Here is a 20,782-nt window from a genome sequence, read left to right as displayed (position 1 = left end):
TTTCGGTCCCCACGCCGCAGCCGAGCCTGGACATTGAGAGCGTCAGATTCAACATGGAATAAGGCCTTAGGGACAGCGTCCCAGAGGCGCTAAGGGAAACATCCCCAACCCTCCACATTGGGAATTAGCGGACTTTCGAACACAAATAAAATACAATAAATCCGTAGGACTTAAAAGGGCAATGTATTTTTAAAAATTATTTTTAAAGTCTCTCTCTTTGAACAGCATCCGCCGATTCGACACGGCACTGGCAGCGGGAACTTGTTCCCGCCAAGACCCTAAAGGTAAAGCGGGTAGGGATAACCTCCAGAGAGAAGGCTTTGTAAACTGGAAGTGACTGGCGCGAGTGGCTTTCACTTATACACAAACACAGCGTTTTGTCATCTGGGAGTGCTGAAAGTGCGGGCGCGAACACATTTTTAGATGGGGGTGCCGGGAGGAGCGGATGCAGCTGGAGCGGCTCCCTTGGGGTGCCGAGTGGCAGGTGGGGGGCGGTGAGGGTCCTTGAGGGCGGGCCTTAGAGTCTTCAGAAGGGCAGGACTCTGAGGGCTTTTTGGAGCTCGCTATGCTTAACCTGGAGATGATTAAGGCCCCGCTTCCTGGCCTCCCAGCCTCTAATGCCAAAAGATAAGGGAGAGGCTGGCGTGTGACCCCGTTTTGAGTCAGGTGGACAGAGGGCTGGCCACCTTCGGAACCATGGGTGCAATACGGAGTCAGACCTCAATACAAGCCCACTCTTTCACATATTTGAACTTTTTTCACATATCAACTTTTTTTGTTCACTGTGCAGGGATTGTTCATTGCTGCTGGAGGAAGATCATGGACTGTCGCGGGAAACTGAAGTGGTTGAGTATCCACTAGTCGTGGATGAGGGCAGTGACTTCGCAGTTTTTTGCGAATTACACATCTCTTTGATTATGTTGTGACTAGTTTTGTTAGATAGTCATTTAGTGTTTGGGATACCTGTTAAGCCCTTTGTCCAGGGACTGTGGTTGGATTTATGAATTATTTGGACGGTTGTCCACTTGAAAGAACTGACAGTAGCTTCATAACAATGTTACAAATCTCGTTCTAAGATTAAGCTGTTGAACCTATATTTGCCATTAGCGCTTAATTTTTGAAGTATTATTTTTATGAATCAAGCCCTGGAAAAGGACAAGATATTTGAATGAAATAGCACCCATAATGGAGAACTTCACAGTTGCTACTCCTGTGATAGGTTTATCTTAGTTTCATTGTGGTATAAATGGAATAGCAGGTGTTGTCAGGTACAAGGTTTGTAGCTTGCCAATATGTTCATTACCAACACTGCAGATTCCCATTGAGTTGGTGGGGGTTTTGTTACCTTTGTTTTTTTTCTCAGCAAAATAATTCTATAACTTTTTGTTTGTGACAAGAAATGGACTTTCAGTTTACTTAAGATTAATACTTCTTGAATGATAAAATCATTTTGCCATGTTAGAAGACATTTCCGAAGAAGACATTTGGGAATACAAATCTAAAAGAAAACCAAAACGAGTTGATCCAAATAATGGCTCTAAAAATATTCTAAAATCTGTTGAAAAAGCAACAGATGGAAAATACCAGTCAAAACGGAGTAGAAACAGAAAAAGAGCCGCAGAAGCTAAAGAGGTGAAGGACCATGAAGTGCCCCTTGGAAATGCAGGTTGTCAGACTTCTGTTGCTTCTAGTCAGAATTCAAGTTGTGGAGATGGTATTCAGCAGACCCAAGACAAGGAAACTACTCCAGGAAAACTCTGTAGAACTCAAAAAAGCCAACACGTGTCCCCAAAGATACGTCCAGTTTATGATGGATACTGTCCAAATTGCCAGATGCCTTTTTCCTCATTGATAGGGCAGACACCTCGATGGCATGTTTTTGAATGTTTGGATTCTCCACCACGCTCTGAAACAGGTAAGACTGCAGAAAACGTAGTAGTTTCTAAATAATCTAAAAAGTCTTCATTAGGTCAGACATACCAATTCAGTGAAACAAGGAAGGCAAGCAGTAACCTAAAAGAGAGATGAGACACTGGGAAACACCATACCAGTCAACGGTATAATTGTAAAGCAAATGGCAGACTAGAAAACAGTTTAAATACATTGTGTTATTTCATAAAAGTTCCTAAGTATCTGGATTATTTTCCATAAATGTTAACTGAATCCTTACTATGCTGGGTACTTTCACACTGTCTACTTACCCAACTTTCACAATCACCATATAAGGTAGCTAGTATTGACATTTTATAGATGAAAGTTCTTAAAAGTCAGATAACTTGTCCAATTGGTTATTTATTTTTTTGAGACGGAGTCTCTCTCTGTTGCCCAGATTGGAGTGCAGTGGCGCTATCTTGGCTCACTGCAAGCTCCGCTTCCTAGGTTCATGCCATTCTCCTGCCTCAGCTTCCCGAGTAGCCGGGACTACAGGCGCCCGCCACCGCACCCGGCTAATTTTTTGTATTTTTAGTAGAGACGGGGTTTCGCCGTGTTAGCCAGGATGGTCTCGATCTCCTGACCTCGTGATCTGCCCGCCTCGGCCTCCCAAAGTGCTGGTATTACAGGCATGAACCACCGCGCCCGGCCCCAGTTGGTGGTTATTATGGAACTCCATAGAAAATTATAAATAGGCTGGGCACAGTGGCTCATGCCAGTAATCCCAGTACTTTGGGAGGTGGAGGCAGGCGGATCACTTGAGCCTAGGAATTCAAGACCAGCCTGTGCAACATGGTGAAACCCCATCTTTACAAAAAAAATTACCAAAAATTAGCCAGGTGTGGTGGGCTACTTGGAAGGCTGAGGTGGGAGGATCACCTGAGCCCAAGAGGTCGAGGCTGTAGGGCCCTGTGATCATGCCAGGGCACTCCAGCCTGGGTGGGGCGACAGAGGGAGACCTTGTCTGAAAAAAAAAAAAAAAAGTATAGATATAATGTGGTTTCTAAATATGGTTATGTTTTAGTCATCGTGCTATGTATACAGGAAGAGGAACTGTGAAGGAGTCCTAGGTGATTAAGATTCTAACAAAAAACGTGTCAAATGATAATAAAAGTATGCTATGTTTTTTATCTTTTAAAATATGTAATAAGTATTTAATGTAGAAAATCCTACTTGGAATACATATGGAGAACAGGTTGTTGTGATGATTTATATATTTTGAAATCATTTATATTCCATATATGGATTTTTTTAATCTGAAAAAGTTAAAATTCAGTAAAATAAAAAAATACTCAATATGGCTTTCATGTTAGCTATGATTCAGAATACATTTTATTATTAACCTGTAGTTATTTTAAAGTACTGCATGAAGATACAGAAAAAAAACAACTCTTCTTTAAATTTGGCATTAGCCTTTCCCAGAAAAGGATAGCAAGTGAAAACCTCACAAATTTGCTAGTAATTTTCTTTCATGTAACTTGAAAATCAAGAATGGAAATTGGAGTCCATGGTTGAAGACCTTAGGGTAAAATGTCATATAGATGAAGCCACCTCAAAAAATTTTTCTTTTGGTTTTTCACTAAACTCCTTTGAGTAGACTCTCAGATGGCTCTTGAATTAAATTCCATTCTATAACAAATGCTTTTAAGAGGCATTTTTAAGTTAGGTTGTAAGCCATGAAGTTTTCTAATTTAATATAACAAATATAACATCTTTTTTGAGGGGAGGGAGGTGTCATTTTTTGATAAATCTGGAAATTAACATACACAGGGATATACCAAGATGGCTTATAGAAAGTTTCTCAATCATGGTAGTATGATAGGGAATAGTTTCCAAATTAGTAAAGCCTTATAATTAACCAATTTCTCAAATTCTATTCTTAGAATAGAATCTAAAACTTGTTCAGTGTATCAACAATTATAACTAATCTTATTAAAATTGTTGCTTTTTATTATATGCAATGTGGATATTAAATAATGGAACCCAATTTATACTGCTAATGTTGTCAAAGCTTAGTCTATGCTTTGATCGTGTAATATTTTTTCTTTATTAAAATTTCAGAGTGTCCTGATGGTCTTCTGTGTACCTCAACCATTCCTTTTCATTACAAGAGATACACTCACTTCCTGCTAGCTCAAAGCAGGGCTGGTGATCATCCTTTTAGCAGCCCATCACCTGCGTCAGGTGGCAGTTTCAGTGAGACTAAGTCAGGCGTCCTTTGTAGCCTTGAGGAAAGATGGTCTTCGTATCAGAACCAAACTGATAACTCGGTTTCAAATGATCCCTTATTGATGACACAGTATTTTAAAAAGTCTCCGTCTCTGACTGAAGCCAGTGAAAAGATTTCTACTCATATCCAAACATCCCAACAAGCTCTACAATTTACAGATTTTGTTGAGAATGACAAACTAGTGGGAGTTGCTTTGCGTCTTGCAAACAACTCAGAACACATAAATTTGCCATTGCCAGAAAATGACTTCAGTGACTGTGAAATCTCCTATTCTCCACTTCAAAGTGATGAAGACACTCATGATATCGATGAAAAACCGGATGATTCACAAGAACAACTGTTTTTTACCGAAAGCTCAAAAGATGGCAGCCTCGAAGAAGATGATGACAGCTGTGGTTTTTTTAAAAAACGACATGGTCCCTTACTGAAGGACCAGGATGAGAGCTGCCCCAAAGTGAACAGCTTCTTAACTCGGGATAAGTATGATGAAGGATTGTATAGATTCAATAGTCTAAATGATTTGTCTCAACCTATTTCTCAAAATAATGAGAGTACTTTGCCTTATGATCTGGCATGTACTGGTGGTGATTTTGTGTTGTTTCCACCTGCATTGGCAGGGAAGCTTGCTGCTTCTGTTCATCAGGCAACTAAAGCAAAACCTGATGAGCCAGAATTTCACTCAGCTCAATCAAATAAACAGAAACAGGTAATTGAAGAATCATCTGTTTACAATCAAGTTTCTCTTCCGTTAGTTAAGAGTTTAATGTTGAAACCTTTTGAAAGTCAGGTAGAAGGGTATCTTTCTTCCCAACCAACCCAAAATACAATTAGAAAATTATCAAGTGAGAACTTGAATGCTAAGAATAATACTAACTCAGCATGTTTCTGCAGAAAGGCATTAGAGGGTGTGCCAGTTGGTAAAGCTACAATTTTAAATACAGAAAACTTGTCTAGTACACCTGCTCCGAAGTATTTGAAAATATTGCCTTCTGGTCTTAAGTATAATGCAAGACATCCTTCTACCAAGGTAATGAAGCAAATGGATATAGGTGTGTATTTTGGACTACCTCCCAAAAGAAAGGAAGAGAAATTGCTAGGGGAAAGTGCATTAGAAGGGATAAACTTAAATCCAGTTCCAAGTCCTAATCAAAAGAGGTCCTCGCAGTGCAAGAGGAAAGCAGAAAAATCTTTAAGTGATTTAGAATTTGATGCAAGTACTTTACATGAGAGTCAGCTTTCTGTGGAACTTTCTAGTGAGAGGTCACAGCGTCAAAAAAAGAGATGTAGAAAGTCAAATTCACTGCAGGAAGGAGCGTGTCAGAAGAGATCAGATCACCTTATTAATACAGAATCTGAAGCAGTCAATTTAAGTAAAGTCAAAGTCTTCACAAAATCAGCTCATGGTGGGCTGCAAAGGGGCAACAAGAAAATCCCAGAGTCATCTAATGTAGGAGGATCAAGAAAAAAGACATGTCCATTCTATAAGAAAATACCTGGTAAGTTGAAATGTCAATACTCGATATATCAACAAAGACAACGTTTTTGAACTTTGTGTTTATTGCCCATTGTGTGTGTGTGTGTGTATGAGACAATTTTTTGTATGTGTTTCCTTTGCTTTTGTGATACTTCATGAGCCTCTAACGTAGATATGGTTTTTGCCTATTTGATTTTTTTTGCTCCATTCAATTCATCAAGTTTCTATTAAACATGCCCTCTATGTAAGTGACTATACTAGTTAGGTGGATATTACGGGCTATAGAAAGATTAGTAAGAGAGGAATAGGGATTCAGCTTAATATGAAAGGAGGAAAGGCATCTCTGTAAATAACTATAATAAAAGGCAGCCTCTAAGTGCTTGTGAGAAATACAAAGTACTAAATAGTTTCAAAGATGGGAAATGTCACAGGTTTTACATATCATAGTAAATGCCAAAAATTTTAAAACCGTATTAGAACTTAGTTTCTCTGCCCTTTCATATACTTTGGTTGCTGCCAAAATATACTTGGTTGCTGAAAGATTTTTAAAGTGCTTTATTGATGTTCTAGATCTATAATTTGTTCAATGTATTTATGTAAAGAATAGCATTTATATACTTCATAACATCAGTGGTGTTTTTAATAATTATTTTGATTAATTTTCTGTACTTCATTTATTTATTTAAAGACAGAGTCTCGCTCTGTCGCCTAGGCTGGAGTGCAGTGGCGCGATCTCAGCTCACTGCAAGCTCCACCTCCCGAGTTCATGCCATTCTCCTGCCTCAGCCTCCCAAGTAGCTGGGACTACAGGCACCCGCCACAACGCCCGGCTAATTTTTTTTTCATATTTTTAGTAGAGACGGGGTTTCACCGTGCTAGCCAGGATGGTCTCGATCTCCTGACTTCGTGATCCGCCCGCCTCGGCCTCCCAAAGTGCTGGGATTACGGGCGTGAGCCACCGAGCCCGGCCAATTTTCTATACTTTAAATGATCCTAAAACCATGTGTTGATAAGCCTCAATAGAATTGGGAAGTTATGCTTATTTATTTGCACATCGCCAGTCAGTACACTTAATTATTTCTTGCATGAGCACATTTTAGAACAGTATTTCTCAACCTCTTCTTCATTACTGCTCCTCTAAGGAGCCTTTTTAGGCATTTTTTTTTCTTGTTTCCCACCCCCTCCTCTAGTTCGACTGTGCAGCAAAATTCAAAGATGGTAGATACGTTGTTTGTCTCATATGTGAGATTATGTTGGCCCTCAACCATTTTGGCTTCCTTAGATCAATACTGCCCCCATTGAGAATTCATGTTTTAGAAGAAAGTTAGCATTCTCCTTTTGCTGTTTTGCAGAAGTAAAGTGCTAAGTATTATGAAAGTATTAGTTAAAACAAAGAAGTAATTGGTTTGTAACCTAGAATTTAAAAAAATTTTTTTTGGTGCAATTATTCACAAATAAAAGTCTCTATACTGAGATACTTGGTAGAAACTTTTAAGACATTCTCATCTTTAGTGTTACCTTTTGTTAAATTTATGTGATATAAGTTTTTAAATATAGTTAAATTGGAAATAAGAGGTAAAGAGGATAGAGGGTTCATTCAGTATTTATAATCAAATTGGGTATCTTAGCTCTTGCTCAACCTACTGTGTCGGTATTTTTATTGCAGGAACCGGCTTTACAGTTGATGCCTTTCAGTATGGCGTGGTTGAAGGTTGCACAGCCTATTTTCTCACACATTTTCATTCTGATCATTATGCTGGATTGTCTAAACACTTCACATTTCCAGTTTATTGTAGTGAGGTAAGTTTTAGTATTCTAACTTTTGACTTTGTAGAATGCTGTGAATTTCTAAGCAATTTGGTTAAAAAATAATAATTAAACCAGTAAGATCTTTCATTCTACTAGAAAAAAAATGAGAAAACATATTCCACATAAAAGTCCTAAACTTAAAACGAGTTGATGTCAAGTTTCAGTTTTTAGAAAACATCTGTCTTATTACATGGAAACAAAAGATAAACTATTTCACGATGTACTAAAAACAAGAAATTTCATTTAGTTAACATTCACTGAAAGCCTAAATGGATTCTCAAGGCAAAATACAGTCAGCCTGCTGTATCTGTGAGTGCCCTATCCATGGATTCAACCAACCGCAACCGAAAAGATTCAAAAATAAAAAATAATACAATGAAAAATAATGCAAATTAAAAAATATAGTATAACAACTATTTACATAGAATTTACATTGTATTAGGTGTTATAATTAATCTAAAGATGATTTAAAGAGGATATGCATAGGTTATATGCAAATACTATGCCATTTTGTATAAAGGACTTGAGCATCCTGAGATTTTGGTGTCCTCAGGGGGTCCTGGAACCAGTCCCCTGCAGATACTGAGGGACATGACTGTATCGAGCTTCAAGGAGCTTATAACCTCCAGAGGAAACATTCATAAATAATGCCATATTGGGATTGGTATCATAATAGAAGTAGTACTCCCTAGGAGTAGGGAGAAGAGAGTGCTTTATCCTGTCCTGGGCTAAGGTTAGACACAGTTTTGTGGTAAAAGATACCTCGAACTAATTATTAAAAAGTGAACATTTTAATGCTCATTACTAAGGGCTTGAACTAGAATTTGATTTAATCTTCACAGCATTCTTGAAGCATGCTTCAGGAATTCTTTTTATTAATGAAACACCTGGGGTTTGGAGAAGTTAAGTGACGTGCCCCAGGTCACAGAGCTAAAAATGGCAGAGTCTGAACTTGTATGCAAATCTGTCTGATTCCAGGACCAGGCAGAGGAAAGAGCATTCTAGGTAGAGAGTAAAGTTTATGTAAAGGCACAGGCACCTGAGAAATATGCCCATTCCAGGCACTTGAGATAATTCAAAATGGCTAGAACACAAGGTAGGGAATAACAGGAGACAAACCCACAGGAATGGGCTGGAACCAGATCACTCAGGCTTTTGTATGTCATGGTGGGAAGGATGGACTCTTCACAGATGAGGCGAAGTCAGTGACGATTTTCAAGCAGAGTAGTGGCACAGCCATTATAGGAAATTCTTCCTGGCATTGTGGAGTGTTTACTTAAATATAAGTAGGAAAATGGATGTTATTAAGATGCTATGGTTCTAAACTAGATATGAAATAAAATATTTAGTGTTTTACTGCATCAGCAATAAGCACGTCCTGTTTTGCAGATAACTGGCAATTTGTTGAAGAACAAGCTTCATGTGCAAGAACAATATATTCACCCATTGCCACTGGACACTGAATGTATTGTGAATGGTGTCAAAGTTGTTTTGCTTGATGCCAATCAGTAAGTATTAAAGTCATCTTAATAGCACATTTTTTAAATGTTCAAAAGGACAACACATTGGCATGATTAATAACTTTTTTCATTATAATTAATATGCTTGATATTTCTTAAAACTTGAGTAAGATGTTTCTCCTTTTGAAAAATAATGTGCCCAATTATAGAATCAGAGATGAAAAGTAAAGGGATCTTCTAAATGTTATCTAACCCATTTTTTATCCAGTTTAAATTACTACACTTGACATCTGAGATTCCATCTTATTTTTTAAAATACTTTAACATGTTGTTGCTGTTCTTTGCAAGATAACATTTTGCCATTTTCTTTAGTATCATTTATCATTTACATAAATTAACAGCTTGTATTCCATTCAGATACTAGAGGTCGGTTTTATCTCCCCCTACCCCTCTTTAAACTAAGAAATCATTCAGGCTTTAGATATTAAAGGTTTGGAAGACTTTTTTTTCTTGGAAATGGCCTCCATTTTTCCCTCTTTTTTTCTTTTAATATAAAGTACTATCAGCATTCATGTTGTCAAAACACAACTGTCAACTCTGCTTCTTTCTACTTTCCATAGAATGTTAGCCCACTGTAACATAGAGGTCATAGATGAAGAGAAAGAAGACTAAATCTAGGTTACCTAAAATCCAGGCCAAGCTATTACATTAGGTTGCCTTTAAGTTTTTGTCTGCTAACTTTGCTACTGTTTTTTTTTTTTAATTGCCAGTTTGAATTCTGATTTTTTTTTTTTTTGAGACAGAGTTTCGCTTTTTTTGCCCAGGTTGGAGTGCAATGGCACAGCCTCAGCTCACTGCAGCCTCTGCCTCCCGGGTTCAAGTGATTCTCCTGCCTCAGCCTTCCAAGTAGCTGGGATTACAGGCGCACACCACCACACCTGGCTAATTTTTGTATTTTTAGCAGAGACGGGATTTTGCTATGTTGGCCAGGCTGGTTTCGAACTCCTGACCTCAGGTGATACACCCGCTTCGGCCTCCCAAAGTGCTGGGATTACAGGCGTGAGCCACCATGCCTGGCCGAGTTCTGATTTTTAAAGTCAACTTTATGGGGTTTTCACCATAGATCACAAAGTTAGCGTCAAGCTAGTATCACATAGTTCAATGTCTCAGGCATACAAAACAGTCTTACCAGGCATAATATTCCTAGGGTTCAGAGTTCATTTCCTAGGAGCCAGCCAAGGGCCAGTCCTGAAGACATGCTTTTCTTGGGAATGTTTGGAGTTTGAGCAACCTGGGTCTGCCTTTCCTGCACACCAGTTCTTTTTATGATGTAAATTTCCTTGAGTTGAAGTGCCGCATTTCCTGTAGTGCAATGCTATGTCATTGTGGTCAGCTAATAAAGCGTGCTAACTTGTTGATATTGAAATAGATACTGTTCCTTTAGGTGCTTGCCTGTGTTATGAACATTCCTTTGACATTTGTGTTCAGCTGTCCAGGTGCTGTCATGATCCTCTTTTATCTTCCTAATGGTACTGTCATATTACACACGGGAGACTTCAGAGCAGATCCCAGCATGGAACGTTCTCTTCTTGCGGACCAGAAAGTCCATATGCTGTACTTAGATACCACGTAAGAGAGGCTTTTTTTGTGTGTTTCCTTTTCCCACTGACAGCCTTTGCTCTCTGTATTATGGTTATCAAAATGATGGCTTATTGCCAATTATTATTTTAAGGCTCTTTATCAGAGGGATGCTGTTTGAAAAATATGTATATACTTGCTTAAGGGCAAATTTGAGATTGTATGTGTTAACTGACTACAGCTCATTTTTTTGTGTGATTTATTTTTGAAAATATGTTACATGAGAATCCTGTTACTAAAACAAGGAAGAAAAACTTAGGAGCAAACTTTAGGAAGACACCCTTTTAAGTTGTCCTTTCAGAGTAACTGTGTAGCTATTAATTGTGAAGAGAAGACAGAGGTCAAAATGTGATTCTGTTTTTGAGTATCCAAACTTGCTGTTGTTCTTTTCTTAAAAAGATAATTTATAAGTGACAGTTTTGAATTCCTGAGTGCTATAAATATAATGGCACAAGCCATTACATTTTAACTGTGTATGTATTTCTCCCTAGCTTTATTAAGTAAATAAAAATTGTATATATTTCTGGTGTATGATGTGATTTTATATATTAAAATATCTCATCAACTTGTTAGAAATTATCTTAACCATTTCAACCTGTTTCAAGGAGAAGTACGTTTGGATGCAATATTTTAGTAAAAGATGGTCTTTCCGCATCCAGTTTTCTCACACTATAACTGGTTTTTCCATTCTTCTATATGAGTTTTAAGCACTGGATAAATTAAGAAAATAAGTTTTTAAAAAAACCCTTTTTTGTTACCTAGTTCTATTCTGATACGATTCTGAATTTCCTCATGGGTTGTTATAGGAGAAAGGTTATTCTTACTCTTCTCTAGTAGTTGACTAGCAAAACAATTCTGAAAATTGGGAAAAATATGTTTCTTTGGCTTTTGCAGTTTATTACATTTTTAGTGAAAAAGTGCTTACTTTTCATATCAAATATAGATAGATAGATAGTAGCTTAATTTTTCACTGGGTTATATTGCATGGAGATAGACCCAACTGGATCTGTTGTATTTGCATGTATCTGTGTGTGTGTGTGTGTGTGTGTGTGTGTGTGTGTGTGTGTGTGTACACATGTACATATATATACACATAGTATATATATTTTGTATCTGTAAGAAATGATATTAATATCAACCATGTCAATATTAACTGATTTAAAACTGTTTCACTAAATTCATATTTAGTTTCATTACTTTAATCATTTTTTATTGACAGTCTTTAGTCCAAATATAATCCTTATCAATATGATTTTTTGATAGTGTTTGGAGTTAAATAAAAGACAGTGAGGTTTATAATTTATAACTAAAATAGCTGGCTTGCTAGAAATATTCTTGGAGGAAAAAAGTCTTCAAAAAGACAATTTTTTGAGAGTGATAAAAGAAATATAATGAAAAAGATATATTGAAAACTTACAATTTGATCTTAAGTTAGTAGTAACTGGCAAATAATTCCAACCACAGGCAGTGAGATAACTTGTGGTATTAATATATTACATTGCTGTTGTATGTAAGTTGCTAACGCTTGTTTTCTAAAATAGCATCCAGCTTAAGGTGATGGCTTTTTTATTGTTCTTTTAGTAAGTACCATGTTTCCATACCACAGATATTGTAGCCCAGAATACACCTTTCCATCTCAGCAAGAGGTTATCCGGTTTGCCATCAACACTGCCTTTGAGGCTGTAACTCTAAACCCACATGCTCTTGTTGTCTGTGGCACTTACTCTATTGGAAAAGAGAAAGTCTTCCTAGGTGAGTTGTAGGTGTATCTAATTTACATTAATATATTATAAAGATCAGATTCTTTTTGCATAATGCCCTTTCAGTTTCTACTCTTGCATTTGATAATTATTTCCTGTAATGATTCAATATTACCTTTGAAGTTGAAGGAAAATTTGACAGTTTGAAACATTTAATCTTTGAAAGGTTTGACTTTAGGGAAACATTTGATAATTGTGTTTAATTTAGGCTTTCTAGATATAAGAAATTTATAGAGCAGCTGCCCATGCTACATTGTTATTTAGTAAACTTTGAAAGATGATTAATGCATAGTTGTATTGCTGCATTCTTTGAGGATAATAATTACATTGGCAATCAGTTTTAATTTTTGTTCCTAAATGATTTCTGGATGTATAACTTAGTTTGTCCAGGTAGTATTGTACTAATTTGCAAAATACTTTCCATTTCTTCTTACGTATGGCCACATTATATCAAACATTAAAGATGATAAAGCTGGGGCTTTTAATTTCTTCAAATTTAGTTCCTTCCCTTCCTCTACCCACTTTCTATACACTTTTGCAGTTTTTAAATAGTAAATAATAAGCCTTTAAAAATAAATTATTTAGTTTTCTCACAATTCATTCCACACAGTAAACTAACAAAATGATTCAGCCTTTTTGAGATATCATGGTAAAAGTGTGAATGTTTTGAATTTCCTTTTATTTGGTAAATTCTTACCTTAAAATTTGCTTAAGCTGTAACTTTTTTTCACAAGCTGTAAGTTTACTATTTTTAATCTTTTCTTTTGCCCATAGCCATTGCTGATGTTTTAGGTTCAAAAGTGGGCATGTCCCAGGAAAAATATAAAACTCTACAGTGCCTCAATATACCAGAAATTAATTCACTCATCACTACCGACATGTGCAGTTCATTGGTTCACCTTCTCCCAATGATGCAAATTAATTTTAAGGTAAGCATTCAAGAGATATGTCTTTTAGGATGAACAAAAAAGGTAATCTGATTATTTTAAGCTTCATTTAACTTAGAGGAATTCAATTATAATAGAGTCACCCATAGTAAAATTTGCCCTAGACAATCTTTTAAGAGGAATTTTAAATGTTCATAGTTTTTCTAGATGTGCAACTCTGTAGAGTAATTCATATGCCCACCAGAAGTTTAGGAGCTAGAGAACTAATATATAGGAAGGAACAAAAATGGAAAGGTATGCAGCTATCTGGTCATTCAAACCTTCAATTTTTAAGATCATTTTCCAGTTCTTTCTGGGTGAGTGGGGAAATGAGTGAAGAATCTAAGAAGTTCTTAGTTTACTTCAGGTCTATTCTATTCTGTATTAATATTAAGCCTTTCTAGATTGATAAATATTGAAAATTTACTTGTTGCGACAATTAAATGAAATAGTGGAAGTGTATCCTAAGAGGAAGTTTGAGCATTAGTTCCAAGGTGTAAGTTAAGACGTATGATATGACCTTGCTGGGATTTGGGGGCTTATTTGTCAGACTTATTCATATACTAACTAACGTTTATTCCATATACTAACATTTTGACACCTGGCAATTGAATACATCAAACCTGTATATTAAAATAAATTCAGAACATAATGCATGAAACAATGTATTTTCACATTTGCTATTGTGTTTATGAAATAAAAAGAATGAATGAGAGGTGAGGCAATGGAGACAGGAAGACTAGAGCATGGTGTGAAGAGGAGCTGGATACTTTCATGGCCAAAGGGAGGAGGGTTGCTTGTCTGTTAGCCATCAGAGATGAGGATTTTTATGTTTTAATGGACAGGGAGAATCTAAGATAAGAGAATAATTGATGAAGTAAGATTTCTGAGCAAGATCTGAAAAATAGGTAATGAAGCGCATCCACTTTGAACAGGAAGAGGGCCACCTCTTCCTCTCTGACAGTTCCGTCACAACCTACCACTCTACAGACTGCGTTCTGATGCATATGGCCTTCTTGTAGACAGCATATATTTACAAATCCCAACTTAAACAAGATTTAGATTTTCACTACTACAAACTCAAACTTTTTTTTTTGTTGTTTTTTTTTTTTTTGGAGACAGAGTCTCGCCCTGTTGCCCAGGCTGGAGTGCAGTGGTGCAACCTTGGCTCACTGCAACCTCTGCCTCCCAGGTTCAAACGATTCTCATGCCTCAGCCTCCTGAGTGGCTGGAATTACAGGCATGTGCCACCATGTCCGGTTAATTTTTGTATTTTTAGTAGAGATGGGGTTTCACCATGTTGACCAGGCTGATCTCAAACTCCTGAGCTCAAGTGGTCTGCCCGCCTCAGCCTCCCCAAGTGCTGATATTACAGGTGTGAGCCACCATGCCTGGCCTAAGCATAACTTTTTAATACAGGAATTCAAGTTGGTTTTTAATAACTCAGGAATGTTGATTTTGAATGATTTTTTGAGGCTAGTGTCCTTGGAGGAGTGACCTGGAGTCATTAAATCTATATTTTTGATAGTCGTCAAGTCTGTATGTTTCCACGTCTAGGATTTTATAATAAAACACAAGTTCTTTGTGAAAAGGTCAGTCTGTAAGGCTCCTAGCTGCTAATGGTGTAATAGATGATGAGAGATAGAAAAAGCTGAGAAAGGGCAGGTGGTTTCCATTAGAAGGTGAGGTTTACTGACCTCCTGCCCACTAGGCTGTAAGCTCGCAGAAAGTGAAGTCTATATCTTCTTGTCCTCCACACTGACCCAAGCAACTATGTAATACCAGAATGGATATTTACTGGTATTGCCTTCAGTAGTCCCTCCTCTTCCTCCATTAAAGTGACTGGGTATTGATCACATTTTCTGAAGACTTCTTTTTTTTCTTTTAATATTTGTTTATTAAACATTCTAGCAATGATAATGGAAATATGTATTTAAAATGTTTTTGAATAGATGATACATTCACAACGTTAAAAAACAAAACTATAAAATGGCATATTGTGAAAAGTTTTTTTTCCTCCCCTGTCCCTCATTTACCCAAATATTTTCGGAAGATTTCTTTTTTTTTTTTTTTTTTTTTTTTTTGAGACAGGGTCTCGCTCTGTCCACCAGGCTGGAGTGCAGTGGCATGGTCTTGGCTCACTGCAACCTCCACCTCCCGGGTTCATGCTATTCTCCTGCCTCAGCCTCCCGAGTAGCTGGGAATACAGGCACCTGCCACCATGCCCAGCTAATTTTTTCTATTTTTAGTAGAGATGGGGTTTCACCGTGTTAGCCAGGATGGTCTCAATCTCCTGACCTCGTGATCTGCCCGCCTTGGCCTCCCAAAGTGCTGGGAATACATGCGTGAGCCACCACGCCCGGCCTCGGAAGATTTCTTACCTCCAAAACGCAGATGGAGCAGAAGCTGATGTTTGTAATTAGAGCCAATTTTTTTTTTTTACCAGCCAAAAGTTGTGTTTCATGAGAGATAATTACTTTCTGTGAAAAGGTAATCCTAATACAGTTTTCAAGGTGCCCAGGGCATGCCTGAAAGCCTTTGAAAGGCTATAAATACAATTCATGCTATCTAGTTCAACATCCCAAGTTCACGTATGTGCTACGTAGTTGACTATCACCTGATTTAAACCTGATTGATTGATTGTGGTAAAATGTTATAACAATGATGTTATAGATGATTATTTGCATGCTGAAAAAATAATTCTAGTAACATTGCTAAAAGTGTTTTTCTCCCAAACTGGTTACCAATAAACGGAGAGAGACAAGTCATAAATCAGGGATTTCATATTGACTAAAGTATTCTTAATAAATTTCCTCATGAGAATAGTTCTCAGATTGTGGTTAATGGACTATTTGTAGCTGCTGGTAGTCTTTTTTTCTGTAGATTTGGCTTATATGATAGTATCCAAAGTTTTTGTTTATGGTACAAGCTAATGATGTTTTTGTGGTAACTCCAATTTGTCCCACAAAAAGCAAATATTAGTTATCATTTAATTCTTCTGGATGGTTTTGCAGAGACAAATAGGAATGGACAGGTTTGATGATGTGTATTGAAAGTTGGACTCAGTTTATGTATTATATGTATAGTTACTCTAAACCTCAGTTTCTTATTATTTTCTTTCTTTGTGAGGACAAGGGCAGAAGGAATAGTGATTAAACAAATAATATTACATTAACTAGGTCCTAGAGTAAGCAAGGCAAAAACTTGCAAATTTGCAGAGCCAAGAATATTGAAATGGAAATTTAGTTACATATCAATAACTTTAACTTTTTTTTGGTGTGCATAGTAATTGGTAAGAAATATGGTTGTCTTATGGTAGGTATTTTTATATTCACTTCTAATTAATAAAAGGCTCTTATTTGATACAAAAGATTAAAGGATTGTTACCAATTCATCAATAAAATGAATTTTATTATTCATTCTAAGTCTTTGAAACTATGGATTTTAGTCCTCAGACCAAAAGTATTAGATTTTTTTGTATCCCTCGTGCCATTATTATTTGTAACTGGATTTCTGTTATCTTTCGAAGACTGAACTTCAGTCATTGATTTTCTAAGAGTTTTATCAAATGTCATCATTTATGATTACTTTAGTTTGGGGAAGTTCTATCCTACTCAAGACTTATAAGGGGAGCATATTACTTCCAACAATAGTGGTATGAAAAGTTTTAAAATAAATCTAGTTCATGTTTAAAGGGTAAAAGGCATAAACACCTGAAAAGAATGCTATTAAGCAGCTGTAAAATGTATCTCTGTGTTGAGTATAATGCCATTCACATAAAATTATTTCTATCCACCTAGCTATCCCCTTTTGATGTATATGCATGGAGATATGTTTGCATTGGTGTTTACCATTGTTGATATTATTATCTCTGTAGAGTAAGATTTGGAGAGTAGTTTTGTTTTTGTTTTTGGTAGCTATCAGAATTGTAATTTGTTTATACCTAATTACTTGTGTTTAAAGTTGTCTCGCTATACTTTTTTTTCCAGACTGTACTTGTTTAACTTCAGATAAGTAAAGGAGAAAATATTTTATATATTTTTTTTTCAGTGATTATTTTTTAGAAGCATAGCACTAGGTTGTTGAAGCTAATGCTTAAAAATGAAAACTCCCCATGCCTGTGCCAGTATAACATCTTTAATCAGTCTGTTTTATTCCATATAACTCGTCTCCATTGACCTCAATATGCTATTTTAATTTAACAGGGCTTACAGAGTCATTTGAAGAAGTGTGGTGGGAAATACAATCAGATTTTGGCATTTCGACCTACAGGATGGACACACTCTAACAAGTTCACTAGAATAGCAGATGTTATTCCCCAGACCAAAGGAAACATTTCAATATATGGTATAGTTATTAAATTTTCTCACTTTTAGTGTTTATAATGTTTATAATTACATTTTAAAAAATGTAATAAGGTTCAAATCCAACAAAAACAGGCACCAAAGAATTTAATAATTCAAGAGTTTTCATCTCTCTACAACTCTAATCCTGTATCTAGTCCATTGTAAACTGATATAAAGGAGCTTGACTAGTAGATAGACATTAATGAATACAGATCATTTCACTTTGTGATCAGTGATATTGAGAGGAAATCGCAGAATTAACTTGAAAGGACTACTGTGGTTGTATACTGGAAGTATAGATGACAATGTGAGATTGGGAGCGGGAAGATGATGGGTTAGATGTGGTGACAGCAGGAGATACAGACTTGCCTGTTTTCATCCTTGAGGGAGGTTTACTACTGCCTTCTGAGTTGGCTTATTGCAGTGACAGCTGATGGAAACATGTTTGGGGTGTCACCAGACCAGTGATTTACCCTCAGCCTCTGAAGACCCTAGTATACTGAAAATAGGACCCTTTTCACCTTTCTCTGTGGTACTTGATCTTCAACAAAGAAGATAAACGGTGTGTTATTTTTTCTTTTTTTCCTATTTTTTTATGTGTGCAAAGCTTGGGGACAAATCTGCTTACCTGCTCTGGAAGTGAGAGTCTCCTGCTTGTTATTCTTCACATTTGACTCATATTTCTTCCATATTTTCCTGAAACCTGTAGCTAAGTAAAGTGTCTAAAGGAAGAATTGTTTAATAAGAAAAACCTAATTAAATAGGACTCTCTGGAAATGCATGTTATTAAGTATACACGCAATAAGGTAATCGATTTTTGAATGTTCTAAGTTTCATATCTGTATTAGTCCATTCTCCCACTGCTTTAAAGAACTATCTAAAACTGGGTAATTTATGAATAATAGAGGTTTAATAGACTCAGTTCCACAGGCTTAACAAGAAGCATGACTGGGAGGGCTCAGGAAACTTACAATCATGACAGAAGGCAAAGGGCAAGCAAGCACATCTTACATCTTATCCTAGCGGAGTAGGAGAGTGAGAGAGAGCACAAAGGGGGAAGTGCCACGCACTTTCAAACCATCAGATCTCCTGAAAACTCACTATCTTATTATTTTTTTTTAATTTTTTGAGACAAGAGTCTTGCTGTGTCGCCAGGCTGGAGTACAGTGGCACGATCTCGGCTCACTGCAACCTCCATCTACTGGGTTCAAGCAATTCTTCTGCCTCAGCCTCTCGAGTAGCTGGGATTACAGGCATGTGCCACCACGCCTGGCTAATTTTTGTATTTTTAGTGGAGACGGGGTTTCACCATGTTGGCCAGGCTGGCCTCGAACTCCTGACCTCAGGTAATCTGCCCGCTTCGGCCTCCCAAAGTGCTGGGATTACAGGCGTGAGCCACCATGCCTGACCAAGAACTCACTATCAGAAGAACAACAAGGGGCAGATCTGCCCCCATGATCCAATCGCCTCCCACCAGGCCCCTCCCCCAGCACATAGGGATTACAATTTGAGATGAGATTTGGGTGGAGACACAGAGCCAAACCGTATTGGTATCATTTTAATGTCTTAATCTTTATTATTCATAAAAGATATCAACAAGTTTTCTTTTCAGAACTAAAGCACTGAGGGGTTTTTGACAAAAATACTGTGGATTGCTTTTCTCTTTTGTTTTATTCTATTTTATTTTAGGATTGTGAAAGTTTAAATTAGTTTGATTTTAGTGTACAAATTCGTTTATTTTTTGTTACAGGAATTCCTTACAGTGAACACAGCAGCTACCTAGAAATGAAGCGCTTTGTCCAGTGGCTGAAGCCCCAGAAAATCATACCTACTGTAAATGTGGGCACCTGGAAATCTAGGAGCACAATGGAGAAATATTTTAGAGAGTGGAAATTGGAAGCTGGATATTGATGATACCTCCGAGGATTCAGTAGTAGTTAAGTTCCTTGGATGTAGCTTGTTAGTAGTTAAATCTATAGAAATGTGAAATACACTTTGTGTGGAAAAACCTCATGAAGATTGTTCAGATACTTTATTTTCTCATTTATGTTTGAACAACATGTTCGTGGTGCTGAATGCCTCTCAGCATCATCAAGGATAACTGAAACTGGGTCTCCCTGGGACCCTTAATTTCTTGTCCCCTGCCCTCCATGGGCAGTTATATTCTGCATCAAGCCTTAGAAGAGGAAGCAAAGGCAGATTCAGGGACCAAAAGGATTAATGATAATTAATAAAGTAGTTTGAAGCATTATATATATAAGTAATTATGTGTCTTTAAAATTATGAGATGAAACTTTTATATGACGTGTATACTTAAATAAAATTAATATAAAATTTGCTCTGGTGTCTTTTGTTTTTTTTGTTTGTTTTTAATAGATTTTATTTTATTTATTTATTTATTTATTTTTGAGATGGAGTCTCGCACTGTCACCTGGGCTGTAGTGCGATGGCTCGCTGCAACCTCCCGGGAGACCTCCCGGGTTCAAGTGATTCTCCTGCCTCAGCCTCCCGAGTAGCTGGGATTACAGGTGCCCACCACCATGCCCAGCTAATTTTTTGTATTTTTAGTAGAGACGGGGTTTCACTATGTTGGCCAGGCTGGTCTCGAACTCCCAACTTCATGATCCGCCTGCCTTGGCCTCCCAAAGTGCTGGGATTACAGGTGTGAGCCACCGCACCCGGCCCAAGACTTTATTTTTTAGAGCAGTTTTAGGTTCACAGCAAAGTTGAGTAGAAGGTATGGAGATTTCCCATATACTTCCTGCCACCCCCACATGCTTAGCTCCCCCGTGATCAACATTGCTCACCTGAATGGTACATTTGTGACAAGAGATGAACCTACGTTGACACATCATAATCACCCAAAGTCCACAATTTACATTAAGGTCACTCTTGGTGTCCTACATTCCTTGGTTTGTATAATGTATAATGACATATCCATCATTGTAATATCCTACAAAATTTTTGCTGTCCCCAAAATCCTTTTTTCTCTGCTTATTCATTTTTCCATCCCCCCAAACCCCTGGCAAACAGTGATCTTTTTGCTATCTCCATATTTGCTTTTTCTAAAATGTCATGTAGTTGGAATCATACAATAGGTATCCTTTTCAGATTGGTTTTTTTCACTTTGTAATATTTAAGGGTCTTCCATATCTTTTTGTGGCTTGATAGCTCATTTATTTTTAGCACTGAGTACTATTCCTTTGT

The 20,782-nt window shown here is 37.1% G+C and overlaps 1 protein-coding gene across 4 annotated transcripts, besides 1 other annotated feature; it reads left to right on the top strand.

Moving 5' to 3' along the window:
* The first annotated feature begins 243 nt into the window (after positions 1 to 243).
* On the top strand, positions 244 to 19,913 carry DCLRE1A (DNA cross-link repair 1A). 4 transcript variants are annotated; one of them, NM_001271816.2, is made up of 10 exons: positions 244 to 284; positions 791 to 1,915; positions 3,994 to 5,658; positions 7,303 to 7,436; positions 8,835 to 8,953; positions 10,394 to 10,534; positions 12,150 to 12,295; positions 13,078 to 13,232; positions 17,435 to 17,576; positions 19,326 to 19,913. In NM_001271816.2, the coding sequence occupies exons 2-10, from the start codon at positions 1,456 to 1,458 to the stop codon at positions 19,484 to 19,486; spliced, it is 3,123 nt and encodes a 1,040-aa protein (NP_001258745.1). In that variant the 5' UTR covers positions 244 to 284; positions 791 to 1,455; the 3' UTR covers positions 19,487 to 19,913. The 4 variants fall into 4 exon arrangements, with proteins under 4 accessions (NP_001258745.1, XP_011538731.1, XP_006718153.1 ...); XM_011540429.2 differs by having other exon boundaries at positions 244 to 399; XM_006718090.2 differs by having other exon boundaries at positions 244 to 484.
* Positions 2,784 to 3,003: an enhancer, noted in NCBI's record as "active region_4072". NCBI's record gives its function as "activates an Ori minimal core promoter by ATAC-STARR-seq in GM12878 lymphoblastoid cells {active_cell/tissue: GM12878}" and the evidence as "EXISTENCE:reporter gene assay evidence [ECO:0000049][PMID:35858748]".
* Positions 19,914 to 20,782: the final 869 nt, after the last annotated feature.

Source organism: Homo sapiens, chromosome 10 (genome assembly GCF_000001405.40).
Source record: "Homo sapiens chromosome 10, GRCh38.p14 Primary Assembly".
Lineage (NCBI taxonomy): Eukaryota > Metazoa > Chordata > Mammalia > Primates > Hominidae > Homo > Homo sapiens.
The sequence above is the reverse complement of the archived record's forward strand: the minus strand, read 5'-3'. Positions and strand labels throughout refer to the sequence as shown.